General features: G+C 53.8%; 1 protein-coding gene across 1 annotated transcript in view, besides 1 other annotated feature; it reads left to right on the top strand.

Moving 5' to 3' along the window:
• The window catches only part of MICAL3 (microtubule associated monooxygenase, calponin and LIM domain containing 3), a 236913-nt gene that overhangs the window by 194570 nt on the left and 23473 nt on the right, over positions 1-18870 (top strand). The window contains exons 22-27 of the mRNA NM_015241.3: positions 2211-2348; positions 6932-7045; positions 7822-7962; positions 8483-8565; positions 10863-12681; positions 13208-13302. Coding sequence (NP_056056.2) covers positions 2211-2348; positions 6932-7045; positions 7822-7962; positions 8483-8565; positions 10863-12681; positions 13208-13302 — 2390 coding nt within the window. The remainder of the gene's footprint in view (positions 1-2210; positions 2349-6931; positions 7046-7821; positions 7963-8482; positions 8566-10862; positions 12682-13207; positions 13303-18870) is intronic.
• Positions 13798-14577: an enhancer, noted in NCBI's record as "H3K4me1 hESC enhancer chr22:18298181-18298960 (GRCh37/hg19 assembly coordinates)". NCBI's record gives its function as "activates a minimal SCP1, AML or CMV promoter by ChIP-STARR-seq in primed H9 embryonic stem cells {active_cell/tissue: H9 hESC(primed)}" and the evidence as "EXISTENCE:reporter gene assay evidence [ECO:0000049][PMID:30033119]".

The raw sequence follows: 18870 nt of genomic DNA, 5'->3' as shown, positions 1-18870 counted from the left end.
TCTCACAGACAAAGGTCTGTGTTTTATGGAACTGTGCTGACGGGCTCTGCACACATCTCACTGGGCTACTCTCCCTGGTCCCAGCCTGCCCAGACAGTCAGGCGCAAAGTAACATGTGAGTCAGAAGAGGTTCTGGAGGAAGTTGGAGAAGGCTCCAGAAGTGGCCTCATGGAATGCGGCCCCATCTATGCCGCATATGTTTTACTGCAAGCTCATCTCCAGCCAAGACTTGGCTCCTTCTCTGATGCAGGAAACCTATCGCCAGTGCAGGTGCCTTTAATGTTTCTCTGAGAAAGGAGGAAATGCTGGCTTGTGCTGTCGATAAGTCCCCAAGGCTGCATGTATTAGCAGGAAGCACAGCAGGACTCTGAGAGAAGAATGTGTCTCTTCTCTTTGTTGCTGAGAAGGTAGAGAAAGGCCCTGCACTCTTTGACTTACCTTCCTCAGTCCTGTGCATCCAGGCTGTTAGGTGACTCTGCTGTGACTTAGTCCCACCCAGCACCATAAAGAAAGGCAAATTGACGGCCGGGTGCAGTGGCTCATGCCTGTAATCCCAGCACTTTGGGAGGCCGAGGCGTGTGGATCACCTGAGATCGGGAGTTTGAGACCAGTCTGACCAACATGGAGAAACCCTGTCTCTACTAAAAAATATAAAAAATTAGTCGGGCATGGTGGCACATGCCTGTAATCCCAGCTACTTGGGAGGCTGAGGCAGGAGAATTGCTTGAACCTGGGAGGCGGAGGTTGCGGTGAGCTGAGATCGTGCCATTGCACTCTAGCCTGGGCAACAAGAGCGACACTTCGTCTCAAAAAAAAAAAAAAAAAAGGCAAATTCACCTCAGAAAAAGTCCACAAATCTATAGAGACCAGCAACATCTATAGAGACCAGCAACTCCAACAAGGGGCTAATACTCCACATACGGCTTGCAGGGCCAGCAACAAATCTATAGAGACTAGCAGCTCCAACAATGGGCTGATACCCCACATACGGCAGAGCACAGGGCCAGCATCACACTGGGTGGTCTTGCTGGTCCTTTCTGCCCATTTCACATTCCCTGTTGCTTGAAGAGGCTGTCATAGTGACTGAAGCCAAGGCCAGATTGTCTGGTTAGACTCAGAGGAGGCATGTCACCCATTCCCAGATGGAAGCTGGCTCCTGGCAGGAACACGAATCCTTCAGATCAGGTGGCACCTGCTGAACAGCCACCTTCCCTTCCCAGTTGCTAGCTGTCCCTTTATCTTAACCCAACTGTGTGGCACGGTCCAAGCACTAAGTACAGGGATCCCACAGGGCAGGGATCCAGAGGGGCCACTGGTGAGTTTCCATGTAGCTGAGAAACCAGGCCTTGTTTCCAGAGGTGATAAGCAGGGCACCACATGGAGTTCTCAGGTGAGGGCTTTGACCTCAGAGAGCTGTTGGTCTCATTCTCGCCTGTGAAATTCCAAGGGTTTGGAAACGTACATGAAAGAGCTCTGCTTCCCTCCCAGCCATCACCTCCCCTGACTCTACCCTCCACTGGGATCCGTGTCCTTGCCTCAGACCCAGCATGCAGCATGAGGCCCACTAAGGGACGGGGACTTTTTCTCTCCAGCAGCAGCTCCAGCTGCAGAAGATGCAAACCGAAGTGCCAGCAAAGTCTATCTCTGTCCTGTGTGAGCTGGCCGGCTGGCGGCAGAATGACACAATCTCTTCCCACCTCTCTCGTCACCTGGCCATCAGCTGGGCGAGTGGTGGTGGGCACCTTGCTGTGTGACCAGCAGAGGGGCAGGATAGTGCATCCTGGGGTCTCACACTGTGCTAGGGACAAAGCAGGTCCTTGTGACCCCTTGGGGCTGGGCCTGCAGAAGCAGGCTGGAATCTGCTCTTTTTCCATCTTGGTGCATGGGCCCCCTGAATGCAGCTCAGGATGAAAGGAGCCTCAGAAAGGAATGTGTGATTCTCTTCACTGAATTGAATGGTACATATACGGCTGGAAATGACCAGGTCACACTGAATGAGCAGAAGGACTGTGCGTGTGTGTCTGTGTGTCCATGCGTCTGTGTGTGTGTGTGTGTGTATACATGTGCATACATGTTCTTAATTTTTACTTCTTTCTGATTCATACTGACCCTGGCCAATGCTGTAACTTCTCTTTCTGTTTCCTTTCCCATGCTATTTCATCCCCTCCTTCCCCACCTCATTTCTCCACCCCTTGACCCTGGGACACTAGCCGGGAACCAGAGGCTCCAGCAGGTCATGCACGCGGCGGATCCTCTGGAGATCCAGGCTGACGTGCACTGGACTCATATCCGTGAGAGAGAGGAGGAAGAGAGGATGGCGCCGGCCTCTGAGTCCTCTGCTTCCGGAGGTAAACACTCCCAGCCCCAGGCCGCAGTGTGCCCCGAGCACCACCCGCCTGCTGCCTCTGTCGCCACAGGGGGCCTTTCTGTCAGGGCAGAGCCACCCATGAGGTCACACACGGGAGCCAGGCGCATCCCGCTTTGCTGCTGTCAGTTGTGACACCTGTACTTTTCATCTGAGGATATGTGAAGTTCTCTGTGGATTAAGAGGTTGTGGACTCTTTCTCCATTGATGCAAAATGGTAAAATGAACCTGATCTTGGGTAAACCAAGAATTTTCTGTCTTTCTCTCATGTTTCTGGTCACCGCTGCTCTTTCCTCACTTCGTAAAACGTTCTGGTACTTTTCTTAGAGTGTGTCTGGACGTGAATGTGTGTTGGCAGGAAGGGGGCGGGAGGGGCATGTTTGGAAGTGAAATGAAGTCTTGGGAAGAGATTTCTGTCCAGGAGGCCTCCACAGTAGCATCGTCTCCAGCCCCAGGCTTTAGGTGTGACGGTCTGTGTCACACAGTAGGATGAAGATGAACCTTATTCTGGCTTTTTTAAATAAAGGAATAGCAATAAGAGAAGGACCGTGGAGACTGCTGAGGGACGTGGTGGCCGCTGTGCCATCTTTCCTGGCATGCTGTCTTCCAAATACCCACCCTCGGAGTCACCTCTGCTGTCACTTCTGTGCGTGCACATTTTCATTCAGCGCCGGTCACGGGCCACACCCCCTGCCAGGCTCTGAGCATACAAAAGGGGCATTTCCTGCCATCATAAAACAGCATTAATAAGACGTTTGTTCCTCCCTGGCCCCAAATCTTCACTTGTAGGCAAGACCAACCTCCGTTTCCGGCTTGTGGTGGCACCATGAGCACCCGCATCACTGGGCTGGCCTGTGAGCTGGGGAGCGCTCTGCAGCCCTGGGCCGGCGGTGGCCCTACCTTGGGTTTTCCCTCTTCTCTTCTCATCCTGATTCTCCATCACACAGGCTAACATCAGGGCTCGCACCCCTTGTTGGTGCCAGACAGGCGTCTGTCCTGAATGCCTTCTCACTTTCTTTCTCTTTGGGATTTTAAGGATGACCTTGGCTCTCCTCGTTGGGAACGCATATTGCTGTGTAACTTTGTATTTGTCGTCTGTTTTAAATTCAGTGCCCGACCTTCCCTCCATACGCCACGCGGCGGTGCAGGCCTGGCTGGAGACGGTCTCCGGAGGTAGTCTGGTGATGTTCACTCTCTCCCCACTCACCGTAACCTCTCTCTAGGCGGCTCTGCTGGTACCTTAACACTAGACTCCTGGGCCTGTTGCAAGTGCATGCCAGGGCGGCAGAGGCGGGTGGGGGTACCTGCATGCCTTGCCAGACAGCCCGCCCTTGCATGGATCAGACGCACACCCCCCCTTCAGGGCAGCTCAGAGGGAAACGTGAGGGCAGGCAGGACAGACACAGGCAGGTTTTTATTGATAAGAGTCGGATAAAAAGGCCAAAGCCAAAGGAACGTTTTTGGCACTGAGAGTTTTAAAATGTGTTGAGAATGAGGTGGTTACCGATTGAGTGTGAAAGGGGAGGAATCAGAAGATATTCCACAAGCCTACCAAGCTATCAGAGAAGGAGGCTGTCAAAACCAGGGGGTTTATGGGAGGATGATGGTGGAGAGGGAAGAGCAGAGGATGGGCGGGTGCTATTCAGCAGAAAGTGGGGACAGGCTGGGTGTGACCAGGGGTGACACCAGTCAAATCCAGCCCGAGCTGCAGGCGTCTCTTCAAGTACAAGAGATCGTTGAGCAGCCTGAGTTGTCCTTCCTACATGTTTCTGGAAGTGTGTGTTTCTCACCGAGGGGCTACTGGCATTTGGGGCAGGACAGCTCTTTCCCTTGCAGAAGGTTTAACATTCTTGGCCTCGGCCCTTGGAGTGTCCGTGCAGCCTCCACCACCTATGAAGACACCAAAAATCCCTCCACGAGTTGTCAGACACTGCTGGAGGAAGGGCAGTGTTATCGCCAACAGCACCACTGTCCTAGCGGTCACTTCTGGGATGCGGACATGGGAGCTCGTGGGGCTTCAGCAGCCTGTCCCTGTGTCCTCCCGGCAGTGGGAGAAACAGGCACACACAGCCGCAGGGAAGGGCCACTGCTCTTTGCGCAGAGACGGCTGGCTCCTCTTCTAGATAGCTTGGGTCCCTAGGGCGGTGGGGCAAGAGCCTCCCAGCTGGCGGCTGAAGGAAACCAAGAGCTGAGCGGGTCAGTGGCTCCTGGCTTTCATAGCACGTGGCTCATCAACCTGCGTGGCAGCTTCTAGCACCCTGCACTCCGTCTTAACCTGAATTTCACCCCCAGATCCACCCCTCAAGCTGTGTCCCTTTCAACACTGCTGCTGCTGCGTTGATATTTCTCACCTGTTTATTTTTTTTTATCTGTGACGATTTTTCCTTTCAAGGTACTGCCAAGGAGTGTAGACTTCTCACCCGCCTGACTCTACCACAGGCATTTCTTAATAGAAAGTCTACAGGAGAGCCGCGTGAAGGACCCAGGCACCAGGGCGGGATCAGGCTAACCCAGGGTGCCCTGGGCTGTGCCTGGCTGGGAGGCCTGTTTGGGTCTCCTTGGTGCTGGCCTCCAGTTCCCTCGCCAGCAAGAGTGTAGAGTTGCCATATTGATCCCTGGGCACCCAGATTCACCCCAACAAATCTGTCAGGCACAGTGGCCCTCTCCATGGGATGGGCCAGATTCTGTTCCAAACGGGGCGTTTGTTCCTCCTTTTCAGAATCGGTGTAGTGCAGCCATGAATTCTTTTATCTTTGCTCCAGAAGTCCCACTCCCTGGTGTTTGATGAACTGTCTTCCTTGAGTGGCCAAAAGCAGTGTTCTCACACCGAGGTTTTAACCAATAGAAATACTTGAGGCATTTCCCCCCTGCTTCCCCCAGCAGGTGCCGATGCTGTAGGATAGCATTTGGCACGGCCAGCAACGTGGGCCACTCTGGTATCTCAGGGAGGCACATGGCCCTAACTGTCAGCTAGTCTGGGAACCCGCCTATCTCTCCCTGTGACGTGGGCCGTCTGTTCCCTTCCAAACCTGTTTCATACAGTTCTTCAAACACTAGATTTGAACCGTCATCTTACAAACTGTGCATAAAAGATAAAAATAAGCTTAAGGAATTATTAAAGAAACAGAAAATCATATAACTGCCACCCTGTTCAAGGGATAAAACGTTGCCAGCATCTTCTAAGTGCCTGGCCTGTGGAGAGAAGATGCTACTTCCGAGGCTGCGCCCTCCCATTTCCACATGGCTTTTTAAGAAATCCACCTAACCGGGCGCCATCAGTTCCCTGCTCCCCAGCCTGGGGCTTTGATCCGTGCGGACTCTTGTATATGGACATCAGAGCATAACTCCTTTCTCCTGAAATTAAAACCCTTAGGGGTAATTTGAGGGTGGCTGGGCTTGAACCCTAGGAGAGCCCGCAGGCCCCCGGCCAGTGGTCCTGTGGGTCTCAGGTGGTGCGGGTCTCACAGTGTCCTCAGAGCAGAGCGTGCCGCCCTCTTCCTGCTGGTGCAAGTTCGGAGTGTGGGAGGTGGGGACGGTGTGTGCGTGCTTAGGGGCCGGCTCCTGGGGAGGGGAAGTTGTCGAGGGTTTTGCCTCATTTTGCAGCCCTGAAGGGCCACTTGGAGTCCAGAGGATGAACTTTACGTACCTTCAGCCCCCAATGCTCTCCCAAAGTATTAGTATTTCTCTAAATTATTGCAAGGGAAGCTCATCTGGTGCCCCTGCACACAGCGCTGTGGACAACCCCCTCAGCTGGCTGGACCTCAGACTTCTCGCTAAAGAAACGGTCCCTCTAATTATGTTGCAGGCTGAGTGTTTCTTACCTGAAATGTTTGAGACCAGAAGTGTTTTGGATTTCGAATTTTTTTCGGATGTTGTAATCTCTGCATATACATAAGGAGAGATCTTGGGGATGGGACACAAGTCTAAACACGAAATGTATTTATGTGTCATATATACCTTGTACACGTAGCCTAAAGATAATTTTATATAATATTTTTAATAATTTTATGCATGAAACAATTTTAGGTGTGACTGTCACCACGAGGTCTGCTGTGGAATTTTCCACTTGGCCTCTTGTCAGTGCTCAGAAAATTTCAGATTTTGGAGCATTTTGGATCTTGGATTTTCAGATTCAGGATGCTCAGCCTGCATTATGAGGGCTGAATGACCCATGGTGTGTGAGGCGGTCAGCACACAGCCAGGCTTTGGCAGATGCTGCTGGGCCAAGGCCCAGAGAAACAGCATTTCCCTTTCCACCCTCCTCCAACTGAGGTTCCTACAGCAACCTTTGGGGGAAGAGGAACAATGCCCCCACCTTCAGCCGCTCTTCTCTTCCCACTTGGCCCCTAGCATTGAGAAATGCCCACCTCCTGTGTTTGGGGGCCCCGGGCCCCCCCCAGCACCCATGCTACGTGTGGAGAGCCCCCTGGGCCTGGCAGCATCTCCCCTCTCCTGGGGCCTGCATGGCAGCGCCCTGAGAAAGGCAGTACCTCTCGCCCCCGTGAAGATGCAGCCTGTCTGTCTGTCCTCCTTTTCTTCCTTCCTTTGAACCTTTCTGCTTTGCAGCCCCATTGGATGAGAATGACCTAGAGGAAGATGTGGACTCAGAACCAGCCGAGATAGAAGGGGAGGCAGCAGAGGATGGGGACCCAGGGGACACTGGTGCTGAGCTGGATGATGGTAGGGGTCCGCCCTCCCCGCCCCTGTGGTGGGAGCTCAGGGAAGATGAAGGCAATATGCTTTCCAGCAAAATCAAGCTCAGTGAGGCCGCCGTTGGGCCTCCTGGTTCCTTCTTGGCTCCACCATGGCTGGAATGCATCTCATTCCACCCAACCACCACCTACCCACGAGCACCAGGCGACTTGGCCTGCAGTCATCCAGCTGCAGCTGGGTGCCTGAGCCAACCTGTGGCTTTATACAAGGCCTTTAATTCTGCTGACTGGCTCCCAAAGCTACATACCTGGAGATGGGTTCTGCATCGCAGTCTGGTTGTGGGGGGCTGAGGGGGTCAGGGACGAGGCTGGGAAGAATGAGAAGAACCCAAGCTTGCGAGGGGGCGCAGGCCTCAGCTGTGGAGTTGGGGTGGCAGTCAGGGCTACTGAGAGGAGGAGGTGCATAGAAGTGGGCCCGTGAGGCCAGGCCTGCCCTCCACAGGCACACCCTGTCTTTGTCTGTCGCAGCCCATCATGTGTGACTGTTGCTGTATTTTAAAAGAAACAGAGCCCCACAGGCTTTGATGCGGCCCCGCGTTGCAAAGGCAGGAGGGTGCTCTTGGCCGGGCCCCTCAGGAGCGGGGGTGGTCTGGTAGGCAGGTCTGTCCCTGCGTAAGAAGGGCCTCCAGGCCTGCACCTGAGCAGCTGTGTTGCAAATGAGCAAGTGGCGCGGCTGCTCTCAGGTGGAAAAGGAGTTGGCCTCACTTAGGGTGTGCACCCACTTCTGCCCCTTCCCTCTGCCAGATCAGCACTGGTCTGACAGCCCGTCGGATGCTGACAGAGAGCTGCGTTTGCCGTGCCCAGCTGAGGGGGAAGCAGAGCTGGAGCTGAGGGTGTCGGAAGATGAGGAGAAGCTGCCCGCCTCACCGAAGCACCAAGAGAGAGGTGAGCCTGTCTTTGATGGGAGAAACAACTTTCAGAATTCCTACGAGGGCCATATGCACACAAGAGTGGCTCAGGGGCCAGGCGCTTCAGAGCAGAGCCATGGTGCACACCAGCCTCCGAGGTGTGGGCAGCTCCTTGCCTTTTCCTCCTCTGTCCACCCTCCCTGTGCCACAGGCTGCTGCAGTTGCTTTGGCCAAAGGCCCTTTCCTTGCATAGTTTGGGTCTGGGAGAAGGTAGAAGGTTTGTCCTGAAGCTCTGTGTGCAGAGTCTGCACATGGAGGAAGCCCACGGCCTGACCTGGTGTTGACAGGAGCACCTGCAGAGAGTGCCGGGCAGCCCCGGGAAGACGGTTCCAGGACCCTGGCCTCTGAGAGAACCTGTGCTTTCCAGGAGAACTGGGAGCCGACTCAGCGACTCGCCCTCTACCCTCCCCTCCACCCTCTGGGGCTGGCTGATAGGGGTGCCTTCCTGGCACATGGGGGGGCTTCCTCTTGTAAGTCCCTGTGTTCATTCTTTTCAGGTCCCTCCCAAGCCACCAGCCCCATCCGGTCTCCCCAGGAATCAGCTCTTCTGTTCATTCCAGTCCACAGCCCCTCAACAGAGGTAAGGGTTTGGGGCTCGCTGTGGGGTACAGAGAACTAATGGGACCCCAAGGACACATATTAACTTCTCTGTTTCAGGGCCCATGGTGTGGGTCCCACCAAGACTGGGGCTAACATAGCCTGCTGGCCTCCTCATTCTGAGGAAGACTGAAAACTATCATCCTCCTTGTACTAAGTGGAGCTGTTGATGACAGGAGTGGCCTTGGAGTTCCAGCTCAGTACTCTTGGGGATGAGGCCGTCTGGGTGGCACCTACTACCTCTGCCCCACTCTGATCCCAAACCTGAGTCCTCTACCCCGTGTCACTGTGTTAGGTCCACATACCACACACCATATGTTTAATTTAAACAAATTTATTAAAAATAAATAATTTATTATATTTAATAAATGTATAATAAACATAGGTGTATTAAAATTGTTTATAAATATAAATTTATTAAAATTTATGTTTATAAATATAAATTTATTAAAATTTATGTTTATAAACATAAATTTATTAAAATTTATGTTTATAAATATAAATTTATTAAAATTTATGTTTATAAATATAAATTTATTAAAATTTATTAGAACAAATTTATTTTTTATAAATTTATAATATATTAAAAATAATATAATTTTTATGATAAATGGTATAAAACATTTGATATTTTATTAAAAATAAATTTGTTTAAATTAAAGCAATAATATCGATGGGATGGTTGGTTTGATATGACAAATGCATTTTTAACATTATGTTAAAATAAATGTATAACCATTGAAATTTACAACATCTGGCCAGGCGCGGTGGCTCACGCCTGTAATCCCAGCACTTTGGGAGGCCAAGGCAGGCAGATCACGAGGTCAGGAGATCGAGACCATCCTGGTTAACACAGTGATAGCCTGTCTCTACTAACAATACAAAAAATTAGCCGGGCGTGGTGGCGGGCGCCTGTAGTCCCAGCTACTCAGGAGGCTGAGGCAGGAGAATGGCATGAACCCGGAAGGCGGAGCTTGCAGTGAGCCGAGATGGCACCACTGCACTCCAGCCTGGGCGACAGAGCGAGACTCCGTCTCAAAAAAAAAGAAATTTACAGCGTCCATGCAGACAGCCTGTGGTGTGTGAACCACATGGAGAATGCTGCAAAGCCAACTGTGACAGCAGGTCCTGTGGAACATGGTTTGGGAAATACTGTCTGCAGGTCAGATCAGGGAGAAAGCTGGAATATAAGGCCTGCATCTGCTTGATTTAGTCTTTGGGATTCTAGGAAGCATGGAACTATTCAGTGATTTTTTTTTTTTTTTTTGAGACAGGGTCTCAGTCTCTTGCCCAGACTGGCATGGGCAATAGTGCAGTGGCATGATCATGGCTCACTGCAGCCTCCCAACTCCTCGGCTCAAGCAATCCTCCTGCCTCAGCCTCCCAAAGTGCTGGGATTACAGCATGAGCCACTGTACCTAGCCTGTTCACTGATTGGATTTTTTTTTTTTTTTTTTTTTTTTTTTTGAGATGGAGTCTCTCACTGTCACCCAGGCTAGGATGCAGTGGCGCGATCTTGGCTCACTGCAAGCTCCACCTCCCGGGTTCACGCCATTCTTCTGCCTCAGCCTCCCGAGTAGCTGGGACTGTAGGCACCCACCACCACACCTGCCTAATTTTGTTTTTGTATTTTTAGTAGAGACGGGATTTCACCATGTTAGCCAGGATGGTCTCGATCTCCTGACCTCGTGATCTGCCCACTTCGTCCTCCCAAAGTGCTGGGATTACAGGTGTGAGCCACTGCGCTCAGCCGTCTGTGAAATGGGGAGGCTTTGTTTGAGGCTCTTGGATGGGGTGATATAAGGGCTGGTGCAGGAATCTCTGCACATCTTTGAGCTTCCTAGGGAGGACAATTTGATCATAATGCACCGTGATAAATAGCTGTGGTAAGTCTTCTTACAGTCCTGGCCCCTCTGTACGTACGTCAGGGATCTTGGCGCTCTGGGGCCTCCTGGAGGGTGAGAACTGCATTCCTCTATGTCCTTTTGGCCAGTGTTCCTGTGAGTGGACAAAGAATATAGGATGTATTTGAGATGAACCAAATCCTGAAAACCCAGTTTGTCTAAACTAAGCAGAGTGGTTCTAAGGTTCTAAACACTGAACACCTGGAGCAGAAAGTGGAAAGGGTTTTCCTGGAGCTGTTCTAATAACAGCTGGAAGGACGGGGAAGTCCTGCAGCAGGCACAGGTGCAGGCACTTTGAGTGAGAAGGCTCCCCGAGGATGCTGCTGGTCGTGAAAGCCCACACCTTCTCAGCGGCTTCTGTCTTCCTTCCCTGTAGGGGCCCCAACTCCCACCTGTCCCTGCCGCCACCCAGGAGAAATCACCTGAGGAGCGCCTTTTCCCTGAGCCTTTGCTCCCCAAAGAGAAGCCCAAAGCTGATGCCCCCTCGGATCTGAAAGCTGTGCACTCTCCCATCCGATCACAGCCAGTGACCCTGCCAGAAGCTAGGACTCCTGTCTCACCAGGGAGCCCGCAGCCCCAGCCACCCGTGGCGGCCTCCACGCCCCCACCCAGCCCACTCCCCATCTGCTCCCAGCCCCAGCCTTCCACCGAGGCCACTGTCCCATCCCCTACCCAGTCCCCCATACGCTTCCAGCCTGCCCCGGCCAAAACATCCACCCCACTGGCCCCTCTCCCTGTCCAAAGCCAAAGTGACACCAAGGACAGACTGGGCAGCCCCCTTGCTGTGGATGAGGCCCTCAGACGGAGCGACCTGGTGGAGGAGTTCTGGATGAAGAGTGCGGAGATCCGCCGCAGCCTCGGGCTCACACCTGTGGACCGCAGCAAGGGGCCCGAGCCCAGCTTCCCCACGCCTGCCTTCAGGCCAGTGTCCCTCAAATCCTATTCCGTTGAAAAGTCCCCCCAGGATGAGGGACTCCACCTTCTCAAGCCTCTGTCCATCCCCAAAAGGCTGGGCCTGCCAAAGCCGGAAGGCGAGCCGTTGTCCCTGCCAACCCCCCGGTCCCCGTCCGACAGAGAGCTACGCAGCGCCCAGGAGGAGCGCAGGGAGCTGTCCAGCAGCTCTGGCCTGGGCCTGCACGGGAGCTCCTCCAACATGAAGACACTGGGCAGCCAGAGCTTCAACACCTCGGACTCCGCCATGCTCACGCCCCCCTCCAGCCCGCCCCCACCGCCACCCCCGGGCGAGGAGCCCGCCACCTTGCGGAGGAAGCTCAGGGAGGCCGAGCCCAATGCCTCGGTGGTCCCGCCGCCCTTGCCCGCCACCTGGATGCGGCCCCCCCGGGAGCCTGCTCAGCCCCCCAGAGAGGAGGTGCGGAAGTCGTTTGTGGAGAGCGTGGAGGAGATTCCCTTTGCTGATGATGTGGAGGACACCTATGACGACAAGACTGAGGACTCAAGCCTGCAGGAGAAATTCTTCACGCCCCCGTCCTGCTGGCCGCGCCCCGAGAAGCCTCGCCACCCGCCCCTGGCCAAGGAGAACGGGAGGCTGCCTGCTCTGGAGGGGACGCTGCAGCCACAGAAGAGGGGGCTGCCCTTGGTGTCCGCGGAAGCCAAGGAGTTGGCCGAGGAGCGCATGCGAGCCAGGGAGAAGTCCGTGAAGAGCCAGGCGCTGCGGGACGCCATGGCCAGGCAGCTGAGCAGGATGCAGCAGATGGAGCTGGCCTCAGGCGCCCCCAGGCCCCGCAAGGCGTCCTCAGCACCCTCCCAGGGCAAGGAGCGCCGGCCTGACTCCCCCACACGCCCCACTCTCAGGGGCTCCGAGGAGCCCACCCTGAAGCATGAAGCCACCAGCGAGGAGGTCCTCTCCCCGCCGTCGGACTCAGGGGGCCCAGATGGCTCTTTCACTTCATCCGAGGGCTCCAGTGGGAAGAGCAAGAAGAGGTCGTCACTCTTCTCCCCCCGCAGAAACAAGAAGGAGAAGAAGTCCAAAGGCGAGGGCCGGCCCCCGGAGAAGCCCAGCTCCAACCTCCTAGAAGAAGCCGCCGCCAAACCCAAGTCCCTGTGGAAGTCCGTCTTCTCCGGGTACAAGAAGGACAAGAAGAAGAAGGCCGACGACAAGTCCTGCCCCAGCACCCCCTCCAGCGGGGCCACGGTGGACTCTGGAAAGCACAGGGTGCTTCCCGTCGTAAGGGCAGGTGCGTCAGCAGCCGGGTCCGCGTGCAGGCAGAGCGGGAGGGGTGCGGGAGGGGCTGGGGTCACTGGGGCTCTCAGGATCCACACTCACACGCTCCCCGCCGAGGGTTCTCAGGAGCCGTGCTGACCTGGAGAAGGGACTGAACCATGGGTTCACAGGGCATAGCCAGCTTAGTAACAGAATTCTCAAAGCCAGCTTGAAACCGGACCAGGAAGACTGTGGAGGTTTGTGCCCTTCCTAAAGTCAGACGACCCCAGAGGGGCCCACTCGTGCACAGGGCAGAGGGCAGTGCTACCAGGAGGGGCTGGGCAGGCCTAGGTGCCACCCGCTTGGCGTCAGCTCTGCCCTGCCCAGGCAAAGGTTGGTGTCCCAGCTCCTGGCTCCCCAGGATGGGGGATGGATCCCTTAAACTAAAATGAATCCAGCCCCCCACCCGGCCTCCTTGGCTGCACATGGGAGCATAGGAGCAGGAGAGGGCTGCGCCTGCTGTCTGGCGCTGTCCTCACGTGGCCTCCCTCTCTCCACAGAGCTGCAGCTCCGGCGCCAGCTGAGCTTCTCCGAGGACTCAGACCTCTCCAGCGACGATGTCCTTGAGAAGTCCTCACAGAAGTCCCGGCGAGAGGTGGGTAGTCAGGCAGGGGGCTTCACAGGGCCTGGGGCCCTGTCTGTTCATTGTTGGGCTTTGGTGGGGTAGAGGAGAGGGAGAGCAAACCGCAAGCCAGGGATGGACAGCTAGTGGCGCATAGCCAGCTGACTGCTGACCCAGCCCTATGCACTGAGGCGGTCACGCTGGGCTTTCTACATGGGAGCTAGGGCCGTTGGCATCCACAGCAAGGGCTTCTGATTTCTTGTGAAGAAGAAAAGACTGGAGCCATTCCTGTGTCACACTCCCCTTCTCTGGAGGAGGCAGCCTGGCATTGTCTTTCTTCATAGGTGATCCCGCGGGGAGCAGCCCACCAGCCCCAGGGCCTGGAGAACACTGCGCAGTCCAGGGCTGCTGGCGGAGCTGGGACCTTAGGCACAGAGCATTGTGCCTGGTCCTGCCCGTTTGGTGGGTTTGATAGTTAGGGAGGGTTTGTCGTCTTAAAGGACTGGTCCAGGAACTGACCTGCAGGGCTGCTAGGTCTGACTCAGCCCCTCACTTTCCAGAGCCCAGGACTTTGGGTGGATCCAGTGAAGGTGGAGGGAGAGGAATCAGAGCACACTCTAACAGGCACCTGTCAGCATACAGGGTGGGCGGAGCTCTGCGGAGTATCATGTCACCCCACCTCCACTGTCCAGCCCTGGGGCCTGTGCTCCTCCTCCTGGCTGGGGGCAACCCGGCTGTCTCCTGCTTCCTGCCTCCCTTTTGCGTCAAAAGCTTCCCGAGAATGTAGCATGCCTTCATTGCAAGGCTTCTAGGGCTTGGACTTGAGTCTGCCCTCTCCTGCCGTCCAATAGCCCAGTCAGGGCGGGCCTTGGTGCGCCTGAGCCCGTCACGTGCCCATTTGGTGAAGATGGCTCCTGCAGCCTGATCCAGTTCCTCTTTAAATAACTCAGCAAACCAGACGCTTTATTTCGCATCCCCTCCTTGGTGCATTCGTCTCCCTTGGCCTTTCCGGCTCTTTGGCCCCTCTCCTAGAAGACTCTAGAGAGCCAGGCCTCTCCTCCTGCTCCACCCTCTACAGAGCCAGGCTTCCTGGTGCCCCAGCCAGGCCAGCAACTGAGTTAGGGTTGGGATCTGCGCCTTCTCAGGGACAGGGAGAGTGTGCCTTCATCAAGGCTTCCAGTCGAGCTTTCCCAGTTGCACTGGGGCTGAGCTGAGAATTCCCCTGGGTTTCTATGTGGGTCCCTAAACACATCCCAATACTGGTGATGGGTGCTGCTTTAGGGGGTCAGCAAAGAATGGAGAATGTGGTCCCAAGCTCACTGCCTCAGTGGTGACAGTGTGGACATTCAACCTATTGTGTCAGCTTGGCCACCCACCTCCCTCACGTTGCTGTGGTGGGTAGTATGCCCACTGCTTCTCCATCCATGAAGCACCTACTGCCTGGGTTGGCTGTGCCAAGGCTGGTACTTGGTGAGCCTCCCCAGGGCCCAGCAGATACAAGGAGCAAGGGAGAAACAGGAACAGGACCCCAGGAACAAGCCATGGACACCAGTCATGGAACCCTAGAGCCAGAGGGCGGCCTCTAAGGCCTCACGCTCTAGGGGCACCCACAGAGGCAAAGCCGTTTGCTAGACGTCACATACGGAATACTAAAGCCAAAGCCAAGCCTGGGGGACAGACAGGCTAGCGGATGGCCGACCTAGAGGACGGCTGAGGATCGAGGAGACGGTCGAGCTAGGGGATGGATGACCTACGGGACGGCCAGGCTAGGGGATGGATGACCTAGGGGACAGTCGAGCTAGGGGATGGATGACCTACGGGACGGCCAAGCTAGGGGATGGATGACCTAGGGGACAGTCGAGCTAGGGGATGGATGACCTACGGGACGGCCCGGCTAGGGGATGGATGACCTACGGGACAGTCGAGCTAGGGGATGGATGACCTATGGGATGGCCAAGCTAGGGGATGGATGACCTACGGGACGGCCAGGCTAGGGGATGAATGACCTAGGGGAAGGCCAACCTAGGAGACAGATGACATGGGAGACAACCGAGCCACGGGCAGCTGACCTGACTTCCGCATGGTATGGAGTCAGCCTGAGCGAGGGCTGGGTGCTGTGCCTATTCAAGACATGGATGCTAAAGAGGAAAACAAACCAAACAAAAACAGCCATAAAGGACATTTTGGGAACAATTAAATTCAACTGAGGACTGGATGATAGTATAAATGTGTAATATTATCAAATTGTTAAGTTCCTTGCAAGTGATAAAGGCACTGTTAATGTACTTTTATGTAGGAAAGTTATATAGGAAAATGTCTGAGTTGTTAGAAAGTCCATCCTAAAACGTTTAGGGACGAAGGGTCGTGGTATCTACCAATGATTCATTACAAAAGGTCATATAAAAGATGACATATAGATGAAGCGTGTGGCAAAATGGTAACCTTTGGCAGACACAGGTGAGAGGCATGTGGGTGTTCATTGTCTTCCTCTTTCAACTTTCCTGTGGGTTTAAATCTTTCAAAGTAAGTGTGGGGAACAGGGGCTCTAAAGTGAGGATGGGGTTTGACCTGCCTCGGAAGAAGGAAGCCCCTTCTGCCAGGCCAGGATCCTGGGGCCACTCCAGCAGCAGACGCCTCCTCCCGCCTCACAGCATCTGTGAAACAAGAGCCTGGGTTTTGTTTTGTTATAAACTTTTAAACCAGTCAAAATACTTATTTTTTATTTAAAATGTTTATTATAGAAAATTTAGGATAATTCAGACTTTTAAAAAGTCACCTGTAGCCCGACCTACAAGAGAGAACTTGCGTTTACCTCTTTTCTAATTGCTCCCATTTGACTTTAAATACAAGCAACGCAGCTGCCTCTTGAGCCCTGCAGCCCACCAGGGTGTGGCCTGGGTACCCTGCCACCCCGCATCCAGATTCACAGCAGAATGTCAGCTCCTGTGGCTGACCACCACCTCAGGCACACAGGGACGGGTGGTGACTTCACCCCTCCCAGCCCAGAAAATGGGTAGATTGTGGGAAGGCAGCCACTGCCCCCCATTGCTATTGACATCAGCCATAGGTGAAGATGTTAGTGCTGTTCCTTAGGGTGTGGTCCATAGTTCCTGTGGGCTTTTTGCAGCCGCTTCGGGAAATCATCTGTCTCTTTTTCTGAACCGGCTTGTTCTCATAACAACATTCTCTTGCTCTGATTTGTGGGAGAGGTGGGTCCACCTGAGGCAGGCGGGACACAAGTGCTCAAAGTTGAAGGAGGCAAATTTATTCTTCCCTCGCCTGTAGGCTTGGGAAGCACAGCTCCGCACAAGGCCGCCCCACAGATGGGATGGATGGAGCAACAGGGAGCGCGGCTGTGGTTGCAGCCTGCCTGGAATTCTCAGGACTTCCCTGTCTTGTGCGCCACCACACACCCTGGTTTCCCTAATGCCTTTCAGCCGTTTAATATGGCTGGTGAGACCACAAGAGCAGATGTGACTCACCTTGACCCTCAGAGCGGCTCTGCACAAGGTGTGATGGAATGAGAAGAGGCTCCTGCTGCTGCCTGACGTGCTTTTGGTGAACAGCACTTACTGATGGTAGTTCAATTCCCTTTACTGGGCACAATCAAGAAATGGCAGCTGGGTGGCACACAGGAACACTGCCAGCGGAGGGCCTTTTGGGAGAGATGGGTGGTTTCCCTCCCAGTTTTGCTGCGTCTGTCTCTGAGAGCAGGACCCCCTTTCCTCCCGCACCCCACTTCTACTCCCCCGGAGCATTCAGCAGGAAGAAGTGGGCTGAATTTCCACAAGCACATGGTCACTCAAGGAGAAAAGCATCTAGAATCACATATTTTAACGGCTTTAACTTTACACAAGGGACAGTGAGATGAGGCGAGTTTTGGGGGTGGTGAGGAAGAAGCTGTTTCTTCCCAATAAAAGAGTGAACCCCGGCCGTATTCAAAACCAGGTCCACTCAGACGCCGCCGCTAGGATCTTCACACCCAGATTCCTACCTAGGCAGTCCTGTGTGACTTCGTGAAAAATAATCTCGTGTTTTAAGTCTTGTGTGTTTGTTTTCAACTTCTAACTTATTTTGCTCCATTTCTGTGTTCTTAATTTTTAATTTGTTAATCATTATTATTATTACTATTCTGTTTTGTTTTCTGATGCCATCCGCTTAAAAGTCAATTTATGTACCACACGCCTTGGCATTCAGGAGATCATGTGCATCAAAGGTAGTGTCTCGTTCCTGTCAGCTGGTCACCGTTGCATGCATGTCTGTGATTAACCACCCGGCGCCGGCCCCGGCCCTCCAGCCACATCCTCACTAACTGTGTTTGTGCGTGCATGGGGCTGTGGCACACACTGGCAGCAGTACTTCCGTTAGCCACGTCATGAGTGGGAAGGAGGATGAGACACCTGCTCCTCACCGGCTGGAGTGCATGTGGTCATTTTGTTCCAGGTTCCTCGGGTCGGGACACAGCTGCCGCTGTGGGGCTGGGCACCCCAGAGAGGGGCAGTTCAGCAGCCCTCAGCTCTGATCAGCAAGGTGCAGCGCTGAAACACCACTGATGACCCTTAGGGACTGACTGTTCAGGGGACCCTCTGTCATTTGAGCTCTTCGAGTGAAGATTATGAGTATAGACCCCAAGTCATGTTTGTCTTCTTTGAAGTCTATAAAAGTTTTCTTGTTGGCCAGGTATGGTGGCTCACACCTGTAATCCCAGCATTTTGGGAGGCTGAAGTGGGAGAATCACTTAAGCCCAGGAGATTAAGACCAGCTTGGGCAATATAACGAGATCCCGTCTCTGCAAAAAAAAATTGTTTTAATTGTCCGGGCGAGGTGGCACACGCCTATAGTCCTGACTACTCGGGAGGCTGAGGCGGGAGGATCACGTGAGTCCAGGAGTTTGAAGCTGCAGTGAGCCATGATCGTATCACTGCCCCCCAGCCTGGGTGACAATGAGACCCTCTCTCAAAAAAGAACTTTTATATAGTCTCCTTGTTTCATTTTCTTAGAGGCAATAAAGAGGGTCTTATGAATAAAGGCAAATCCCCAATCTTTGCCCCTCTTGTTGCCCATGGTTTGTTCAAAGCATCTGATGCTCCCTTGAGCCCTTGGCACCCACGTAGGCAGGGGGCTGTGGCTGTCCAGTCCGTGGACTTGCACTGGATTGGGCCATTGCCTCTTCTGTTCTCGATGGCGCTAGGCGCAACAGCCCTGGCCAGGCCACAACCTCTCTTCTTCCTAGCGGCCAGCGGCTGCCTCTGCAGACCCCAGAGTCAGTCCAGGTTCACCTCCACAATTCCTTCTTCAGACTGTACTTGACTTAAAAGAGAAACATCCTTGTTCTCTCTACTTGGGTGTCATTTCTTGGAAGACTCTCATGGATACTGCTCTTCTGAAGAAAGTGACCTTTGATACCAAACAGGAAAATAAAAGGATCCCGATTTCTCTTTGCTTCCCCTGTAAGCCTCCTAGAAGCAGGAGGCTTGGTGAAACAGCCTACCAATGTTTTTACTCCCACAAAGTTTTAAAATGACCAGACATCCTTATTTGGGAAGCAGGTGATCTCAGTGATAAAGGAGCGTGTGTCCCTTTATTGTTTTAACTGCCTAA

The sequence above is a fragment of the Homo sapiens genome, chromosome 22, assembly GCF_000001405.40.
Source record: "Homo sapiens chromosome 22, GRCh38.p14 Primary Assembly".
NCBI classification, from domain to species: Eukaryota; Metazoa; Chordata; class Mammalia; order Primates; family Hominidae; genus Homo; species Homo sapiens.
This window is presented reverse-complemented; position numbering and strand designations above follow the sequence as displayed.